At 45.3% G+C, this 18,259-nt stretch overlaps 1 protein-coding gene across 10 annotated transcripts in view; it reads left to right on the plus strand.

Moving 5' to 3' along the window:
- TAF8 (TATA-box binding protein associated factor 8) overlaps positions 1-18,259 on the plus strand; it is a 36,939-nt gene that overhangs the window by 8,149 nt on the left and 10,531 nt on the right. For 3 of the 10 annotated variants that reach the window (XM_047418177.1, NM_001438580.1, XM_047418175.1), the window contains exons 6-8: positions 7,640-7,787; positions 9,793-9,935; positions 12,675-12,796. The exons of 3 other annotated variants lie outside the window; for them this stretch is intronic. In XM_047418177.1, the coding sequence (XP_047274133.1) occupies positions 7,640-7,787; positions 9,793-9,935; positions 12,675-12,796 (413 nt within the window). Of the gene's footprint in view, positions 1-7,639; positions 7,788-9,792; positions 9,936-12,674; positions 12,797-18,259 lie in introns of those variants that run through there. 4 more of the 10 variants (NM_001410907.1, NM_138572.3, NM_001410906.1 and 1 more) reach the window with 2 other exon arrangements.

Consider the following 18,259-nt stretch of genomic DNA (forward strand, 5'->3'; position numbering starts at 1 on the left):
GCCCTTGGTCAGATCTCTCTATTAGTTTCCTGGGCTGCTGTAACAAAATGCCACAAACCAGGTGACTTAGAACAACAGAAATTTATTGTCTCACAGTTCTGGAGGCTAGAAGTCTAAAAGCAAGGTGTCATGCTCCCTCTGAAACCTGTAGGGGAGTCCCTCCTTGCCTCTTCCTAGCTTCTGGTGGTTGGCCAGCATTCTTTGGCATTTCTTGGCTCATAGATGCATCACTCCAGCTTTCTGTCTTCACATGGCATTCTTTTTTGTGTGTGGTTGGGGGGCAGAGGGGGAGACTGGAGTTTTATTATTACTCAAATCAGTCTTCCCCAGCATTCGGGGAGCAGAGTTTTTAAGGATAATGTGGTAGGTCGGGGGAAGCCAGTGAGCCAGGAGTGCTGATTGGTCAGAGATGAAACCATAGGGACTCAGGGCCGGGCAAGGTGGCTCACGCCTGTAATCCCAGCACTTTGGGAGGCCGAGGTGGGGGGATCATGAGGTCAGGAGATCGAGACCATCCTGGCCAACATGGTGAAACCCCGTCTTTACTAAAAATACAAAAAATCAGCCGGGCATGGTGGCGGGCACCTGTAGTCCTAGCTACTTGGGAGGCTGAGGCAGGAGAATAGTGTGAACCCGGGAGGCAGAGCTTGCAGTGAGCCGTGATTGCACCATTGCACTCCAGCCTGGGCGACAGAGCGAGACTTTGTCTCAAGAAAAAAAAAAAAAAAGAAATCATAGGGACTCAGAGCTGTCTTCTTGCACTGAGTCAGTTCCTGGGTGGGGGCCACAAGATCAGATGAGCCAGTTTATTGATCTGGGTGGTGCCAGCTGATCCATCAAGTGCAAGGTGTCTCAACACTGATCTTAGGAACAGTATAGGGAGGGTCAGAATCTTGTAGCCTCCAGCTGCATGACTTCTAAACCATAATTTCCAATCTTGTGGCTAATGTTAGTCCTACAAAGGCAATCTAGTCTCCAGGCAAGATGGAGGTCTTCTTTGGGAAAAGGAGTGTCACTGTCTTTGTTTAAACTCTAAACTAAGTTTCTCCCAAAGTTAGTTTAGCCTCCGCCCAGGAATGAACAAGGACAGCTTGGAGGTTAGAAGCAAGATGGAGTCAGTTAAGTTAGATCTCTTTCACCGTCTCAGTCATAATTTTGCAAACGTGGTTTCAGTCCTTCCCTTTGGGTTTTATAACACCTTAATCTTAAGGTGTAGGCTGTGAAGATGGGAAAAGGCTATCAATTGCTCTGGCTTCTTCCTGCTGACAGGGCACATTATGGGAATGGGAGTGAACCCGAAGGTGAGAAGAGTGGAACTGGTTTGCAACTGTCTGAGTGTACTCATGCAGGCCTGGCTAGGCGTTCATGGCTTGCATGGCACAAACATTAGTACTCTGTAGTTTTACTACAGTGTTTAAGTGAAACAGCCCACTATAAGGTAAATAACGAGTCCTAGGATGAGGAGTACAATTCCCAATTTTAAAAGCAAAGATTTGGAAGCACTAGTTTGGGGACTTCTAACCCACAAAGACTTTAGAATTTAGTCTAAACTGCAGAAAAAACCTCAAGAACAGCTAACAACAGTGTACTATAGTTTTTCTTTTGAAGCATAATTTTTCTCTCTCCAGTCCCCATTTTTATTAAAAACAAATCATGATACAACTGATTTGTTTACAAAATAAACTTTAGTCTTACTGTACTTGGCCCGATTATTTGCATAAAGTGCAGCAAGAATAATTATTTTTCACTTAGACTTTTTAAATTGGCTTTGATAGAACTCTGTTCCATGAAGAATCTCAGATAAGACTTTTTAAAAGCCGAGCCCAGCCATGGGTTTGTACCCTCAAATACCTATGAGTTGGGCAAATTTGTCTCCTCTTGAGGTCCCAAGATAGCTTGGGGTTCCTGAGCCTGTTTGAAAGTGACATTCTTTACTTACCACAGGTCAGGAACCTTGTACAGAGACTCTGTGTGGACGGGGTATAAGGCCAGATTCCCCAACGGGCTTTAATTGGCTATATAAGTCAACTTTGATTCTTTAAAAAAAAGCATGCCATTCCAGTCAAAGCCTTGGTAAAATAACCAATTTCTCCAACTGTGGCCTGTTACAAAAGAAAACAGATTCTTATTGCACTTATGCAATTAGCTATACTGCCATAAATTGAGAATATTCACAAATAGTTTCCAAATTCTGGAGAAATCAGGTAGAGAGGAACAATATGCTGTAAATTTTGTTCACAGGAGTTTATTTTACTCACATGATAAAAGTTGCAAATAGTTCTAAAGAAATAATTTCTCTTGACTCTGAAAACAAAAGGTTTAGCAATGTTTAACACATTAGCTCTCCGTGAGAGTCCTAGAAGTTTGTTTTTTTCCTCTATTCCAATAGCACAGTTCTTAAAGTTATCTGAGACCTGCACTTAGAGTCCTATATTTGATTATAAACTGCATTTTGAAAAGGACCAAAGCAAGATAAAATGTCTGTGGATGACAAAAGTCTATAGCCACTATTAAAGCTACAATTGACTAGGAATTTTGGTTACTTCTGTGGCATACAACAATTTTACATAGCAATTATAATTATTAATGTACACTAAACTATATCAACATTATAGAAGTTTCCCATAATTTTGGACACATACTAATAATATATTTATACAAATACAGTCTAAAGTAAACCAAACACCATTCACTCTTCTATTTGAAAGTTTTTCCTCTATTCTAATGTCACAATCTCCAGAGTTATTAATCAGAAACCTGCATTTATTAGCACCTGTTAAATTTTATAGCTGATTATAAAACCATCTTTTAAAGAGGACCAAAATGAGACAAGTGTATGACAAAAACATTTTAGGGCAGCCACAGTTAAAGGCACAATTGGCAAGGAAATTTGTTACCTCTGTGGCACACAATCTGTTAACATAATCATTATAATTATTACTGATAACATACACTAAGTCATATTAGAATTATAGAAGTTTTATGTAATTTTGGAACATATACCAATAACATTTATACAAATATAGACCAAAGAAAGCCAAACACCATTTCATATTTGACAATGCCTCCTGTATGATTTTGTATCAGATAAGCCAAATCATTTTTGGGCTTTAGAGGACCTAATATCTAAAAGGTTAGAAAGAGACATAATTTTTAATTGGATTTTGGAAAGTTTGTCAAATATCAAAGGTTTAAAACACTGGATATCACAAAATAGAATCCCAGGTCACCATAAGTCATTCGTTTAGCCAAAATGATAACTCCAAAAAATTTTTTTGTAAAGAAAAACTTTTACTCTGTTAGAGGAGACTTAGCTTTCCAAACAAGACTCGATGAAGATAGCATGAGGCCAACTGAATCTGTCTCTTCTCTCCCTCTCCTCTTTTTTTTCCCTGCCATTCACCCAAAGGAGAAAAGAAAACCCTTTCATTATCTTTTAACATTACATAAAAATCATCTTCAGAAGAGAAAAACAAATTTCATATTTGTACTAGCGCATCTTTAATGTTAAAGCTAGTTTTTTAAATAAAATTTTATATCTCTACCCAGTTTTAATTAGTTTGACCATACAGTAAGATTTTCATAAACTTTTTAGAACCCTTTACAATTTTCCACCAAACAGTAGGTCAATTTTCTAAGAAAACCCTGTTATTCAGACACGTGGGTCCAGATTCTGGCCCCACATCAGTATGATTTTAATGTTTTAGCCTACAGAAAAAAGCTAAATAATTTCTTTTAAATCTTAGCCAACTTGTTGATACCCACAGAATTTTTACACGATCAACCCTTTACAAACCTTTTTTACTTAGCTTAAATCTTCAGTTTCGATTCTGTTACTCTTTTAGGTTAAGACAATCTTTTTTTTTTTTTTTTTTTTTTTTGAGACAGAGTCTTGCTCTGTTGCCAGGCTGGAGTGCAGTGGTGCGATCTCAGCTCACTGCAACCTCCACCACCTCCCGGGTTCAAGTGATTCTCCTGCCTCAGCCTCCCAAGTGGCTGGGACTACAAGCGCCTGCCACCAAGCCTGGCTAATTTTTTTTTTTTTCTTAAGTAGAGATGGGGTTTCACCATATTGACCAGGCTGGTCTCGAACTCCTGACCTTGTGATCCACCTACCTTGGCCTCCCAAAGTTTTGGGATTACAGGCATGAGCCACCGTGCCTGGCCAAGACAATCTTTAAAACCCTCTGAACTAGACAAAATTACATTCCCTTTAACAAAAGCTATGGCTAAAGCTATGCCAAGTTCACATGGCATTCTCTATCTCTGTCTTCCTGTGGCCAGCTTCTTAGGAGGACACTAGTCATATTGCACTAGGGACCCACCTTACCTTAGTAAGACCTCATCTTCACTGTGCTTACATCTGCAGTGACCCTATTTCCAAATAAGGTCATATTGTGAGGTACTAGGACATATCAAAAATGTTTTTTTGTGGGGACACAGTTCAACCCATAACATTCTTTAACTCTTTTATATAGTATATCCCTATCTGTAACATTTTTTTTTGAAACAGGGTCTCACTTTGTTGCCCAGGCTGCTGGAGTGCAATGGGCGATCTCAGCTCACCACAGCCTCGACCTTCTAGGCTCAAGTGATCCTCCCACCTCAACCTCCCGAGTAGCTGGGACTACAGGGGTGCACCACCATGCCCAGCTAATTTTTGTATCTTCTGTAGAGACAAGATATCGCCATGTTGCCCAGGCTGGTCTCAAACTCCTGGGCGCAAGCAGTTCACCCAGGCATGGGTACATACTCCAGTATATGTTTGCTTATTTATGTGAATATTATAATGTAACATTGTACAAAATAATGTACATTAAAAGATAATCTTACCCTTTTAAAATGTTCAGGAAACCTATAACCTTTTCTAGCGGGAGCAATTGCCTCTGCTTTTTATTTTTTGAAATCATAGGGTTTTTGTTTGTTTTGTTGTTCTTGTTTGTTTTGTTGTTGTTGTTATTTTATAGAGATGGGGACAGGTTTTTTGTCTTTCTGTGGTGCTCAAGCTGGTCTTGAACTCCTAGCCTTAAGTAGTCTTTGCACCTTGGCCTCCCAGAGTGCTGGGATTACAGGCATGCACCACTGTGCTCAGTCTTTTTTTAGAGGTGGAGTTCTCGCTCTGTTGCCCAGGCTGGAGTGCAGTGGTGTAATCATGGCACTACAGCTTTGAACTCCCGGGCTCAAGCAGTCCTCCCACCTCAGCCTGCAGAGTAGCTAGGACCACAAGCACACGCTACCATGCCAGCCTAGAAATCTTGGTTTAATACTTGATGGAATAGTAAGTTGGAGGTCAGAATCTAAGATTAGTTTATTTTGATACTTTAATGGCTCTCATAGTTGAAAATGGTACATCACAAACATATGTAACATCATTGGCTGCTCTTAATAAATCATAAAACTAATTTTTTTCATCCTCATTTACTCATTATCCAAAGAATTTGGTTGAAAATTTTCTATTAAATTTCTAATTTATTGAGTGCCAAAAGTTGTCTTAGGAATCATTACAAGATTTTGCATTTTAATGTTTTTAACAAGTACAATATGTTCAAAATCCACTCATTTTATTATTGGGAAGTTTTGGGGTTTTTTTGTGGGGGGTGGACAGAGTCTCGCTCAGTCCCCCAGGCTGGAGTGCAGTGGTGTGATCTCGGCTCACTTCAACCTCTGTCTCCCAGGTTCAAGCGATTCTCATGTCTCAGCCTCCCCCAAGTAGTTGGGATTACAGGTGCCCACCACCACGCCTGGCTAATTTTTGTATTTTTAGTAGAGACCGGGTGTTACCATGTTGACCAGGCTAGTCTCAAACTCCTGACCTCAGGTAATCTATCCGCCTCGGCCTCCCAAAGTGCTGGGATTACAGGTGTGAGCCACCACACCCAGCCTTTTGGGAAGATTTTTAACACGTCAGAAAATTCTGTTTCTTTGTTTAAGTACAGATGTGAGAACTGTATAGGTGACACACTTGAACTGATGGTGACAACAAAGAAACATTTCCAGGTGCCTTCTTTAAAAATGCTATCTCAGCCTGTAATCCCAGCACTTTGGGAGGCTGAGGCGGGTGGATCACAAGGTCAGGAGATCGAGACCATCCTGGCAAACACAGTGAAACCCGTCTCTACTAAAAATACAAAAAAATTAGCCAGGAGTGGTGGCAGGCGTCTGTAGTCCCAGCTACTCGGGAGGCTGAGGCAGGAGAATGGCATGCACCCGGGGGGCGGAGCTTGCAGTGAGCAGAGATCCCGCCACTGCACTCCAGCCTGGGTGACAGAGCAAGACTCTGTCTCAAAAAAAAAAAAAAAAAAAAAATGGTATCTCAGTATCATGAAGAGTAGTTACTTTATTGGTCGTTGTTAAAATGTCACCGTTGCCATTACCAATTAAAATGTTTTCCGGCTGGGCGCGGTGACTCACACCTGTAATCCCAGCACTTTGGGAGGCCAAGGTGGGTGGATCATCTGAGGTCAGGAGTTCGAGACCAGCCTGGCCAACATGATGAAACCCCATCTCTACTAAAAATACAAAAATTAGCTGGGCATGGTGGCACGTGCCTGTAGTCCCAGCTACTCAGGAGTCTGAGGCAGGAGAATCGCTTGAACCCAGGAGGTGGAGGTTGCAGTGAGCTGAGATGGCGCCACTGCACTCCAGCCTGGGTGACAGAGCAAGACTCTGTCTCCAAAAAATAAAAATAATAAAATAAAAAGTTTTGGCTCATTTCTCATTCTGATCTCAATCATTTTCACTCCATAACTTGATTGCCAGCAAGCTCATAATTAGGAGGAAGAGTAGCAGCCTGCCGTTTTCTTGGTCACTTGCACGTATAATAAGATCTTCAGCCTCTCTTTCTTTGAGGGAATCTTTTTGGAACAATGTATCCATATTGTGAGGATTGATTTAATAAGATGGGATGGTATAATCCACAAGTCCACATAGGCAGCCACTCCCATACTGCAGGAGGTCACATTGCGCTGATGGAACCTGTGGTCCCCATCAGGGCTTCCCTGGGGGCACTCCCACTCTTTCTTCACGATGCGTCTCTTAGACCCGAGACCATCTGTCATGGGAGCTGAATGAAGGCTCCAAGACAATCTCTACAGTAAATATTTGTACATTTCTTAATTTTTAATTAGAAATGAATATTAATGTAGTTACATTGTTTTTCCACCTTTCTACTGTGCTTTGGTGATCTTGGCTCTAACTAATAGTATTGGGTCATTTAATTTAATTTTATTTATTTATTTATTTTTTGAGACAGAGTCTCGCTCCTGCTGCACAGGCTGGAGTGCAATGATGCAGTCTCGGCTCACTGCAACCTCCGCCTCCTGGGTTCAAGCGATTCTCCTGCCTCAGCCTCCCAAGTAGCTGGGATTACTGGTGCCCACCACCACACCCAGCTAATTTTTGTATTTTTGGTAGAGACGGGGTTTCGTTATGTTGGCCAGGCTGGTCTCAAACTCCTGATCTCAGGTGATCCACCAGCCTTGGCCTCCCAAAGTGCTGGGATTACAGGTGTGAGCCACTGTGCCTGGCCTGGTATTGGGTCATTTTAGAGAACAGGGCATAGCAACAGCAAGCCAGGGAGCTGATGAAAGCAGAATGATACTTCGGCATCACCCCAGTGTCTTTGCTGCTCTCTTCGTAGACGTACCGTGAGCCCGTGTCAGACTACCAGGTCCTGCGGGAGAAGGCTGCATCCCAGAGGCGCGATGTGGAGCGGGCACTTACCCGTTTCATGGCCAAGACAGGCGAGACTCAGAGTCTTTTCAAAGATGACGTCAGCACATTTCCATGTGAGAGTTGCCCCACTGTGTGGACCCTGTCTTATTTGAAACACTCACATTATCTTTTCTTTCTCTCAGCATGGTAGGAAGAAACAAATAAGCTTTTGTCCTTCCCTTGGGTACAGCTTGCCTCTCAGATTTCTGGCTCCCTTCCCCAGGTCTTAAGAGTCTGTCCTTAACTGACGACTCCAAAACAGTAATGGTCTCTGTTGGGACTGGCTGCTTGAGGTCCATAGAGTTACCTTGAGGGTAGCCTAGGCCTAGGCATCAGAGACACTTGGTGGCAGCCCAGGTAGTAGAAGAACATTGGCATCAGGGGCCAGTTGCCCATCGTGATGTTCCCTCGTAGGTCCCACCTCATTTAACTTGGCATCTCAGCACTATTTGGCCATGTTGACCAAGCTACTTCATTTCCAAAGACCTCAGTTTTTACAAATGTGAGTGAGGGAGGTTGGTTTGGGTGATTCATTCATTCAGCAAGCTCCTGTGGAACGCCCGCTGTGTGCCTGGCTCTGGAATAACAGCAGCTGCCGGTTGTTAAGTGCCAGATACTGTGCTCATCATTTCCCATACATTATCTCATTAAATCCTCTTGTGAGCCTCTGAGTTGGGAACTGATATATCACTACCTTCATAGGAACCCTTCAATGAGGCACAAGAGAAGAGAAATGAAGTCACTTCCTCAAGGAACATGGCTAGTAGACATCATTCAAACCTAGCTCTTACTGCAGGACCCCACATCTGACCCACAGCAAAAATAATTCTGGAGTTTTTGTGGGTTTTTTTGAGACAGAGTCTTGCTTTGTCATCCAGCCTGGAATACAGTGGCGCAATCTCTGCTCACTGCAACCTCCGCCTCCCGGGTTCCAGCGATTCTTCTGCTTCAGCAAGTAGCTGGGACTACAGGCAGGAGCCACCACACCCAGCTAATTTTTTGTATTTTTAGTAGAGACGGGGTTTCACCCAGTTGGCCAGGTTGGTCTTGAACTCCTGAGCTCAAGTGATCTGCCTGCCTCAGCCTCCCAAAGTGCTGGGATTATAGGCATGAGCCACCACACCCAGCCAATTCTAGAGTATTTTCTAACAGTCACATTCTACCATAGAAGTACACACAGAGACTTTTTCTTTTTCTGTTTTGAGACAGGATCTCACTTTGTCGCCCAGTCTTGAGTACAGTGGCACAAACAGCTCACTGCAGCCTGGACCTCCTGGACTCAAATGAGTCTCCCACCTCAGCCTCCCTAGTAGCTGGGACTACAGGCATGCACTATTATACCTGGCTAATTTTATTTTTCCTAGAGACGGGATTTCACCATGTTGCCCAGGCTGGTCTCAAACTCCTGGGCTCAACCAGTCCTCCTGCCTCAGCCTCCCACAGTGCTAGGATTATGGGCATGAGCCACCACACCCGGCCTTCTTTCTTTTAATGTTATTTTTTATTCAATTTCTTCCTCTCATCCTCATTGCTTTTTGGAAGAGCTAGAACTCTCATTGACCAGAGTGTCTTACAGCTCAGTGGACATGCATATATGCAGAGTGCTCAAATCCAGCCTTTGGACTTGAGTCCTTCAGGGTAAAAGAATCAATATTCCTGCTCTGGAAGTGAAGCTTAGAGGGGTTTAACTGACCTTGGGTGCAGGATCTCAAAACTTATGTGTTGCTAGGATTCTATCTATAGCCTCATTTCCATCTTATCTCAGTTGTACTTGGCAAAAAGTAGATTCTGAAGTCATGCTGCTTGAGTTAGAATCCCATTCTGCCATTTTTAGCATGCTTGGGAAAGTCATTTCACCTCTCTGTGCCTAATCGTACTTAATAGGATGGGAGCAAGGATGAAAGATAACATGAGTAAAGCCCGTAGAACATTGCCTGGCCTGTTGTGTAAGTACTTGGAGCGAGTTAGCTAGTATTATCTTCTGGTGCTGCTCACTGATTTGTTGTGAGGCTCTAGGACTCTAAGCCAGCTGCGAGGTCTCTGTGACAGTGGACTCATGCCTCTCTTCCAATTCGCCAGTGATTGCTGCCAGACCTTTCACCATCCCCTACCTGACAGCTCTTCTTCCGTCTGAACTGGAGATGCAACAAATGGAAGAGACAGATTCCTCGGAGCAGGATGAACAGACAGACACAGAGAACCTTGCTCTTCATATCAGCATGGTGGGTTCCACCTTCTGCCTACCTCAGAGTATCCCCCAAACTGTCGCACACTGCCCTCAGTCTGTCACCCTGGGACCTGGACATGATCGACCTCAGGTCTCTTTGGCTTTCTGTTAGGGGCCTGCATAAGGGCTTGCGTGATGATCCAGATGTGACCCAATCTCCTGCTTAGAGACACATCCGTGTCCTGGGGATTCACTCGTTCATTCAACAAATACAGTTCCAGGTGCTGGGATATTAGTAGGAAGCCAAATAAACAAAATTCCCTGTCCTCATGGGGCTAATGAAAAATAATAAATGAGGAGATAGGAAGTGGGGATGGGAATGGGAGGGATGCAGTATTAGGTAGAGTGACCGAGAAGGGGGCATTTGAGTAAAGACCGGAAGGGAACAAGGCATGGACATGTCTGGGGGTGGAGCCATTCTAGGCAGCAGGGGCAGCAGATGCAAAGGCCCTGAGGCAGGAGCTCCCCTGTTGTATTGAAGAACAGCAAGGACATCAGGGTGGCCAGAGTGGAGTGAACAAGGAGGAGAACAGTAGGGGATGAGGTCCGAGAGGGCCCACGGGGAGTCAGATCTTACAGGGTCTTAAAGGTTAGATTAGACACTTTGCCATTTACTCAGTAAGGTGGACCCACTGGAGATGTTGAGCAGAGGAGGGTCAGGATCCAAGGTAGGTTTGCTAACAGGGTCAGTCAGGTTGCTGTGCTGAGGATGGGCTATAGAGGGCAGGCAGAAGCAGGGAGACCAGTTAGGATGCTGTCACAGTAAACTGAGAGATGGTAGGAGGAGCAAAAATAAGGAGATGTGGTCACCTAGATCATTTGGTCAGATTCTAGATCACTTTCAGAGCAGAGCCAGTTGATAGAGTAGATATGAGAGTTAAAGAAAACGGTAAGGTTTTTTGCCTGAACAATAGGAAAGATGGAATTGCCTTCAGCCAAGATAGGAACAACCACCGGGTAGAACAGGTGTGTGGGGGAAGTCAGGAGTTGATGTTCGTGTCTTAAACATAGATGTGTTAAGTTTGAGATGCTTGTTAGACATCAGGCGGTGATGTCAGGTGAAGAATTGGATATATAATTGGAGTTTGAGGAGCAGTTAGGGCAGGAGATGCGTATTTGGGAGCCAGCAGCCTGTAGGTCGTGTCTAAAAACATGAGCGTGGATGAGCTCTTCCAGGGATGAGTGAGGATAAGAAGAGGAGGCACATTGAGTCCTGGAGCTGTTGCTGTGTGTAGAGCTTGAAGAGATGAGGAAGAACCAGCATGGAGGTGGGAGAACTGGAAGAGGGCTGTGTCCTGGAGGCCAAGGGAAGTAAGTGTTTCAGGGAGAAAAGAGCAATTAGCTGTGTCCAAAGCTGTGGGTGGCTCCAATGGTAGGAGGACTGAGAATTCAACCATTAGATCTGGCAGTGTGGATGTCATTTGTGACCTTGATGAGAGCCATTTCAGTAAGAATGAGAGCGAAGACCTGGAGTAAATTCAGAGAGAATGGGAGGAGAGAAGAGGAGTCAGTGAGTATAGACTTGTGCTGTCCCTTATAGCAGCCACTAGCCACGTGTAGGTATTTAAATTTAAATTAATGAAATAAAACTAAAGGCCGGGCGCGGTGGCTCACGTCTGTAATCCTAGCACTTTGGGAGGCTGAGGTGGGCAGATCACGAGGTCAGGAGATCGAGACCATCCTGGCTAACATGGTGAAACCCGATCTCTACTAAAAATACAAAAAAAAAATTAGCCAGGCGTGGTGGCAGGCGCCTGTAGTCCCAGCTATTTGGGAGCCCGGGGCAGGAGAATGGCGTGAACCTGGGAGATGGAGCTTGGCGTGAGCCAAGATCGCGCCACTGCACTCCAGCCTGGGCGACACAGCAAGACTCTGTCTCAAAAGAAAAGAACTGAAAATCAGTTCCTTAACCTCACTAGCCACATTCATTTCAAGTGTCTGATAGCCACATACGGCCAGTGGCTGCTCTACTAGGCAGTGCAAATATTGAACATTTCCATTGGCACAGAAAGTCGTGTGGTGTTCCTGCAGTACAGGGAGGGAGAGTGATGCAGTGGTAACTAAAAGGGGGAAAATGAAGGAATTAAGAGAGGTGTTTCGTGTTTTTATTTTTTAAGATAAAAGAAATAACGTGTTTGTATGCTGTTGGGAATGATCTAGTCAAAAGGGAAAATGGATACAGGAGAGAAAGAAAAGTCTGGGAATGATGTCATTTGGTAGACGAGAGGGGATGGGCCCGTGACCAAATGGAGGGACTAGCCTTCTTCTGGACATTTCATACCCAGGATAGGAGACAACATGTGGGTTCAGAGACAAAGGTGGGCAAGGAGGTGTTCTAGTCCTAGTTTGTTTTAGGGTATACTTTCTTTTCTGCTCACCGGTGTGTCATACTCAGCGAGTGAAAGGATAAGAGCCCCCTCTTGTTCCTGCACCCTTGGAGAAAGTGCCAAGTACAATCGCAGAACCGCCAGAAGCTGGAATGCCCTTAAGGCTAATAGGGTTATATAGTCAGGTTGCCATATTCAACCATCCTTTAAAATCAGCACTAGTTTGGATGCCTTAGTGGCTGTAGTTGGACTGAGCATCCCTTATGTTCTCTAAGATGTGATACCCCAAATGGCAGCCAGCCACCCTGGGTTGCTAGTGGAATATGCCTGTGTCATCTCTATTTGCTGAAGGTCTTATTTGCCTGGACATACTTTTTTTTTTTTTTTTTTTTTTTTTTTTTTTTTAGATAGAGTCTCGCTCCGTCACCCAGGCTGGAGTGCAGTGGCAAGATCTTGGCTCACTGCAACCTCCGCCTCCTGGGTTCAAGCGATTCTCCAGCCTCAGCCTCCTGAGTAGCTGGAATTACAGGTACGCACCACCACGCCCGGCTAATTTTTGTATTTTTAGTAGAGACGGGGTTTCACCGTGTTGGTCACGCTGGTCTTGAACTCCTGACCTCATGATCCACCCTCCTTGGCCTCCCAAAGTGCTGGGATTACAGGCGTGAGCCACCACACCCGGCCTGGATATACTTTTTTTTTTTTTAAATATTGAATTATTCCTTTCAGAATTAGGGCTGGGAGACCATGGCTTTAAATAAAGCAGAGGAAATTGTTATTGTACGCTTCTGTTAATTTGGGCTGAGATATGGTGATTGGGTCATGGACTAAGTTGAGGTTCACCTTATGAGAAAGAGGAATCATGTAAACAAACGTCATCATACCTTTGTAAGTACAATATAGTTAAAGGGCTTGGACATGCATTCACTGACGGTCCCGTAGTGATGTGAGGTCATGGTGGTAATTGAACCTAAAGAGTGTCAGCAACCGCCTGAGGACTCTTGAATACCATGAGGCCAAGCCAGGGTTGCAGACAGCAGGAGTGTAGGAAGGCCTGAGTCTTAGAGTCAGACTTGCCTAGCTTCAAATCCAGGCTGTGCTGCTTGCCACATGTGTGACCGTGATTGTGTTACTTTACGCCTTAGTCTATTTTCTTGTAAGTAGAAACAGAAACACCTACCTCAAGGGACAGGGGGAGCGTGAGACAGAGCTGGTATCTATCAGGTGCCTGGCATGTGGCAGCTCCTAGCACACACTGCTCCCTCCCCTGCTGTTTTAGGCTATCTAACCATATGCCCTTCTGTGAAAAATAAAATCAAATGACTCCAAGACAAAGATTCTAGTGACAATTTACTACAGTCAGTTGGACCTAATGTTATTTTGTTAGACTAGGAAATACAATCATATGTTTCAAAATGCAGAGTGTGCAAAAAGATGTATGGTGACAATCCCTCCCATCCTGTTCCCTGTTACCCACTTTCCCTCCCACAGAGCAACTGTCTCACCAGCCTCTTATGTAGCCTTCTAGAGACATTTTTTTAAATTGTTATTTTGAACTGAAACAGCAGATCACAAACTGTTCTCTTCTTGCTTTTTTCCTGGCTGTATCTTGGCGGTCATTCCACATCTGTAAGGGAGGAGGCGCATCGTTCCTCACAGCTACTTTATCTTCCATTGTATGGATGTAACCATTTAATTTATCTAGTCCCCCATGAACACTTAGGTTGTTTTCTGTCTTTACCATTTACAGACATTGTTATAGCAAAGTAAATAACTGGTTTTTTTGTTTGTTTTTTTTTTTGAGACCGAGTCTCGCTCTGTCACCCAGGCTGCAGTGCAGTGGCGTGATCTCGGCTCGCTGCAAGCTCCGCCTCCCGGGTTCATGCCATTCTCCTGCCTCAGCCTCCCCAGCAGCTAGGACTACAGGCGCCCGCCACCACGCCCGGCTAATTTTTTTGTATTTTTAGTAGAGGCGGGGTTTCACCGTGTTAGCCAGGATGGTCTCGATCTCCCGACCTCGTGATCCGCCCGCCTCAGCCTCCCAAAGTGCTGGGATTACAGGCGTGAGCCACCACGCCCAGCCAATAACAGGTATTTTAAATTATTATTTTATCTCTTGATGAGAGTGCACCTCTCAAGGTCTGTTGTTAGGCAGTACATTATTTAACCTGGTTCTAGTTTCTCCATGTACTTGAACATAAAGGAGCTATTCATTTTAAATTCATGTATAATTTAAATTCATGTATAATAGATTCTTTTCTCACACATTTGAACCAGCTGCTCTCTGCAGCCAACCCAGATATCTAAGCTTTTACTCTTTTATGAAAAATATACCAGTCACTCACTCAACCAGTGTTTATTTAGCACCTAGTATGTGCCAGATATTTTTTCTGGCTGCTTGGGATAAAGCAGTGAGAAAAACAAAGAAAACCTCTGCCTTTTAGGAGCAGAGTTTGGCTGTGGGAGAATGATACCAAACACAATATATGACTAAATCGTTGCATAGTATATCAGAAATGAAAGTGCTGTGTGGGGGAAAAACAGTAGGGGAAGATCCAGGGTGAGGAGGAGTCTTCAGTTTTTAAGTGGGGTGCTCGGAGTAGGCATTACTGAGAAGGGGATATCTGAGCAGGAGCTTGAAATGGGTGAGGGAGTGAGCCATGTGGATATCTGGGGAAGAGTGTTCTGGCAGAGGGAATGGGCAGTGCAAAGGCCCTGTGGAATAGTGAGTGGCTTGTGGGAGGGAGGGTCAGATTGGGTAGGGCCTTGTAGGCTATTTTAAGAGCTGGCTTTTAACTAAGAGAGATGGGAGTTGTGGGAGGGCGTGGAGCAGAGGAGGGATGTTTCTGAGCTTCTTAAAGCACCACTCTGATGGCTCGGTAAGAACGGACTAGAGAGATCAGTCAGGAAGCTGTCGCTATAGCCTAGGCGAGAGGCAGTGGTGGGCCCAAGTAGAGTGGTTGCCACAGAGGTGGTGGAAGTGGTCAGTGCCTGCCTGAATTTTGAAGGTAAGTCCAAGAGGCTGTGCTAACAGATTGGGTATGGGATGTCAGTGAAGGAAAAGGAGTGTGCCAGGTGTGGTGGTGCATGCCCATAGTTGCAGTCACTTGGGAAGCTGAGGCAGGAAGATTGAGCCCAGGAATTTGAGTCCAGTTTTGGGCAACATAGTGAGACCCTGTTTAAAAATAAAAGAAAGAAAACAAGCAAGAATGACCACAGAGTTTGTGACTCGAGCCATTAGAAGGATGGAGTTGCCATCACTTGTGATGGGAGGGACTGAGAAGCGCCGTTTACACCACAGGGGAAGGTCCCCAATTCAGACTTAGGTGCCTGAAGTCTGAACTGCCTACCTGATACCCCAGTGGAAATGCTGAGTGAGCAGCTGGCTGCATGAGCCTGGAAGTCGGGAGAGGTTAGGGCTGGCATTGTACTCCAGGGAGCTGTTGGCGTAGAGATGGCACTGAGAGCTGGGAGACTGGATGCAGTCACCACAGAGGGTGTAGGCCTTGCTAGAGCTCACAGGCAATTCAGGGAGCTCCTGACGGACCATTCTGCTCCCACTTTTTTTTACAAATCTCTGGGTCAGTTTGACACTTTACTTTTTTGTTTTTTTGAGACAGAGTCCCACTCTGTCGTCTAGGCTGGAGTGCAGTGGCACAATCTCGGCTCACTGCAACCTCCAACTCCCGGGTTCAAGCGACTGTCTTGCCTCAGCCTCCCAAGTAGCTGGGATTATAGGCGCCTACCACCATGCCCGGCTGATTTTTTTGTATTTTTAGTAGAGGCAGGGTTTCACCATGTTGGCCAGGCTGATCTCGAACTCTTCACCTCAGGTGATCCACCTGCCTTGGCCTCCCAAAGTGCTAGATTACAGGCGTGAGCCACCACGCCTGGCCTACTTTTTTTTTTTTTTTTTTAACTGGCTGACTTCCCCACCCCTAACCATCTCAGTGCTGCCTGTCCCTGAAGGGGACATTTCTATGAGGCCTGCTTGGGAGAAGGAAGCCTGCCGTCCTGCTCTTGTGAGCCACGGTGGGCCGAATGGAGGGAGCCTCTTGACCCTCCAGCAGTGTCTTGAGGCTGGCGTTTTCAGCACCTCTAACAGTGTTACCTCCATGTGTATCTCAGAAAACATTGAAGGCACGGTTGAAGTGAGCTTCCAGTAACTTTGAAGATAGGCTGTCTACTGTAGAGAAATGATAGGATGGACGGAGCGAGGAGATACTACTCATTTGTACCATTAGGAACTTCAGAAAGGTTGGATGCCAGATACCCAAGGGAGGTCTGGTTGTGGGCAGACCTTTTTTCCGGCACCTGGTCTGGCCTGAACTAGGTTGGTCCTGCAGCACTTGCTTTCAAGAGTCTCTGGAAGGCCCCAGTGGCTCTGGGTCACCTTGTGGTCCCACTGGATTGGGTGCTGGAGAGGGAAAACACACAGGCCCTGATACTGGGCCAATGGAACTGTGTCTTTGAAGAGAACAATTGATAGGACAGGGAGAGGGCACGCAGGGGAACCTAGATGTGATCTGGTTTCTTCTGGCTCATTAAACCTGAGACTGGTGTCCATGCCCTAGGCCAGCTGTCCTGTCAGGGGAACCTGCTATTTATTTCATGCCATCCGGTCATGGCATCCTCTGTCTGTTTTGACAGCAGCCTCTCCTGCTTGAGGTCAGTGAGGGCCTCTTTAGCCTCAAGTTGCAGAACAGGAATCTCAATGACTTCTTCCCCGTGGAAGAACTTCTTCCCCTTGGCCCATCACCAGGGGGCGCAGCCCGACCAAACGTGGAAAATAAAGGAGGCTGTGAATAAAGACAGGATAACTGACTGCTCATACTTCCAGAACAGTTTTTAAAATGTCAGCATATTACCTTTTTTTCTGTGTCTATACACAACTGTGACTTTTTAAGAATTTTGATCATACTGATTACATGTGAACTTACAAACTTTTCTGAAAAAACACATTTTTCTCAAAAAATGAACAGTAAAGCGGCCGGGCGCGGTGGCTCACGCCTGTAATCCCAGCACTTTGGGAAGCCAAGGCTGGCAGATCATGAGGTCAGGAGATCGAGACCATCCTGGCTAACATGGTGAAACCCCGTCTCTACTAAAAATAAAAAACTTAGCGGGATGTGGTGGCAGGCACCTGTACTCCCAGCTACTTGGGAGGCTGAGGCAGGAGAATCTCTTGAACCCAGAGGCGGAGCTTGCAGTGAGCTGAGATCACACCACTGCACTCCAGCCTGGGTAACAGAAGAAGACTCCATCTCAAAAAAAAAAAATGAACAGTAAAAAACCCTGCCTCGGAGTTCGAGACTAGCCTGGCCAACTGGTAAAACCCCGTCTCTACTAAAAATACAAAAATTAGCCGGGCGTCATGGCACATGCCTGAAATCCCAGCTACTTGGGAGGCTGAAGCAGGAGAATTGCTTGAACCCCGGAGACGGAGGCTGCAGTGAGCCGAGATCACGCCACTGCACTCCAGCCTGGGTGACACAGGGAGACTCCATCTCAAACAGGCAAACAAACAAACCCTGCCTCATAGGTTGCAGATAGGCATTACCAATGATGTGCATGTGCTGGTACCTGCTGGCTCTGCGTCCCTTAGTGGAACCCTCAAGGCTCAAGAAGTTTCTAGCCTGTGCTGGGATGTGATTGTTGGTACCATGTTGCAAGTACCAGAAATGTGAGGATTTGAGGGAGAAATCTGTTCTGACTTAGTCTATCTAGCTTGGCCAGGAGATGCGCTATGCAGATGATGTGTTCTGATCCTGTATCTCCCAGTCATGCAGGGCATCCAGGATCACTTTTCTTCTTCATCTCCCCACCTGGCCGGGCATCCTCCCTGAGGCATCTGAATTTGATTCCTGTCCCTCCCAGGTGTCTGTTCTTTCTAACCCCTGTCCCTGCCTTCTCCAGAGGTTCAAAACTCTGGACTCTGTTGTGTGCTCTCTTGGGTCAAGGCTGTTAGTCTTGCCTTCCCTTCATAGCCAGC

This window comes from Homo sapiens, chromosome 6 (assembly GCF_000001405.40).
Source record: "Homo sapiens chromosome 6, GRCh38.p14 Primary Assembly".
Classification (NCBI taxonomy): Eukaryota; Metazoa; Chordata; class Mammalia; order Primates; family Hominidae; genus Homo; species Homo sapiens.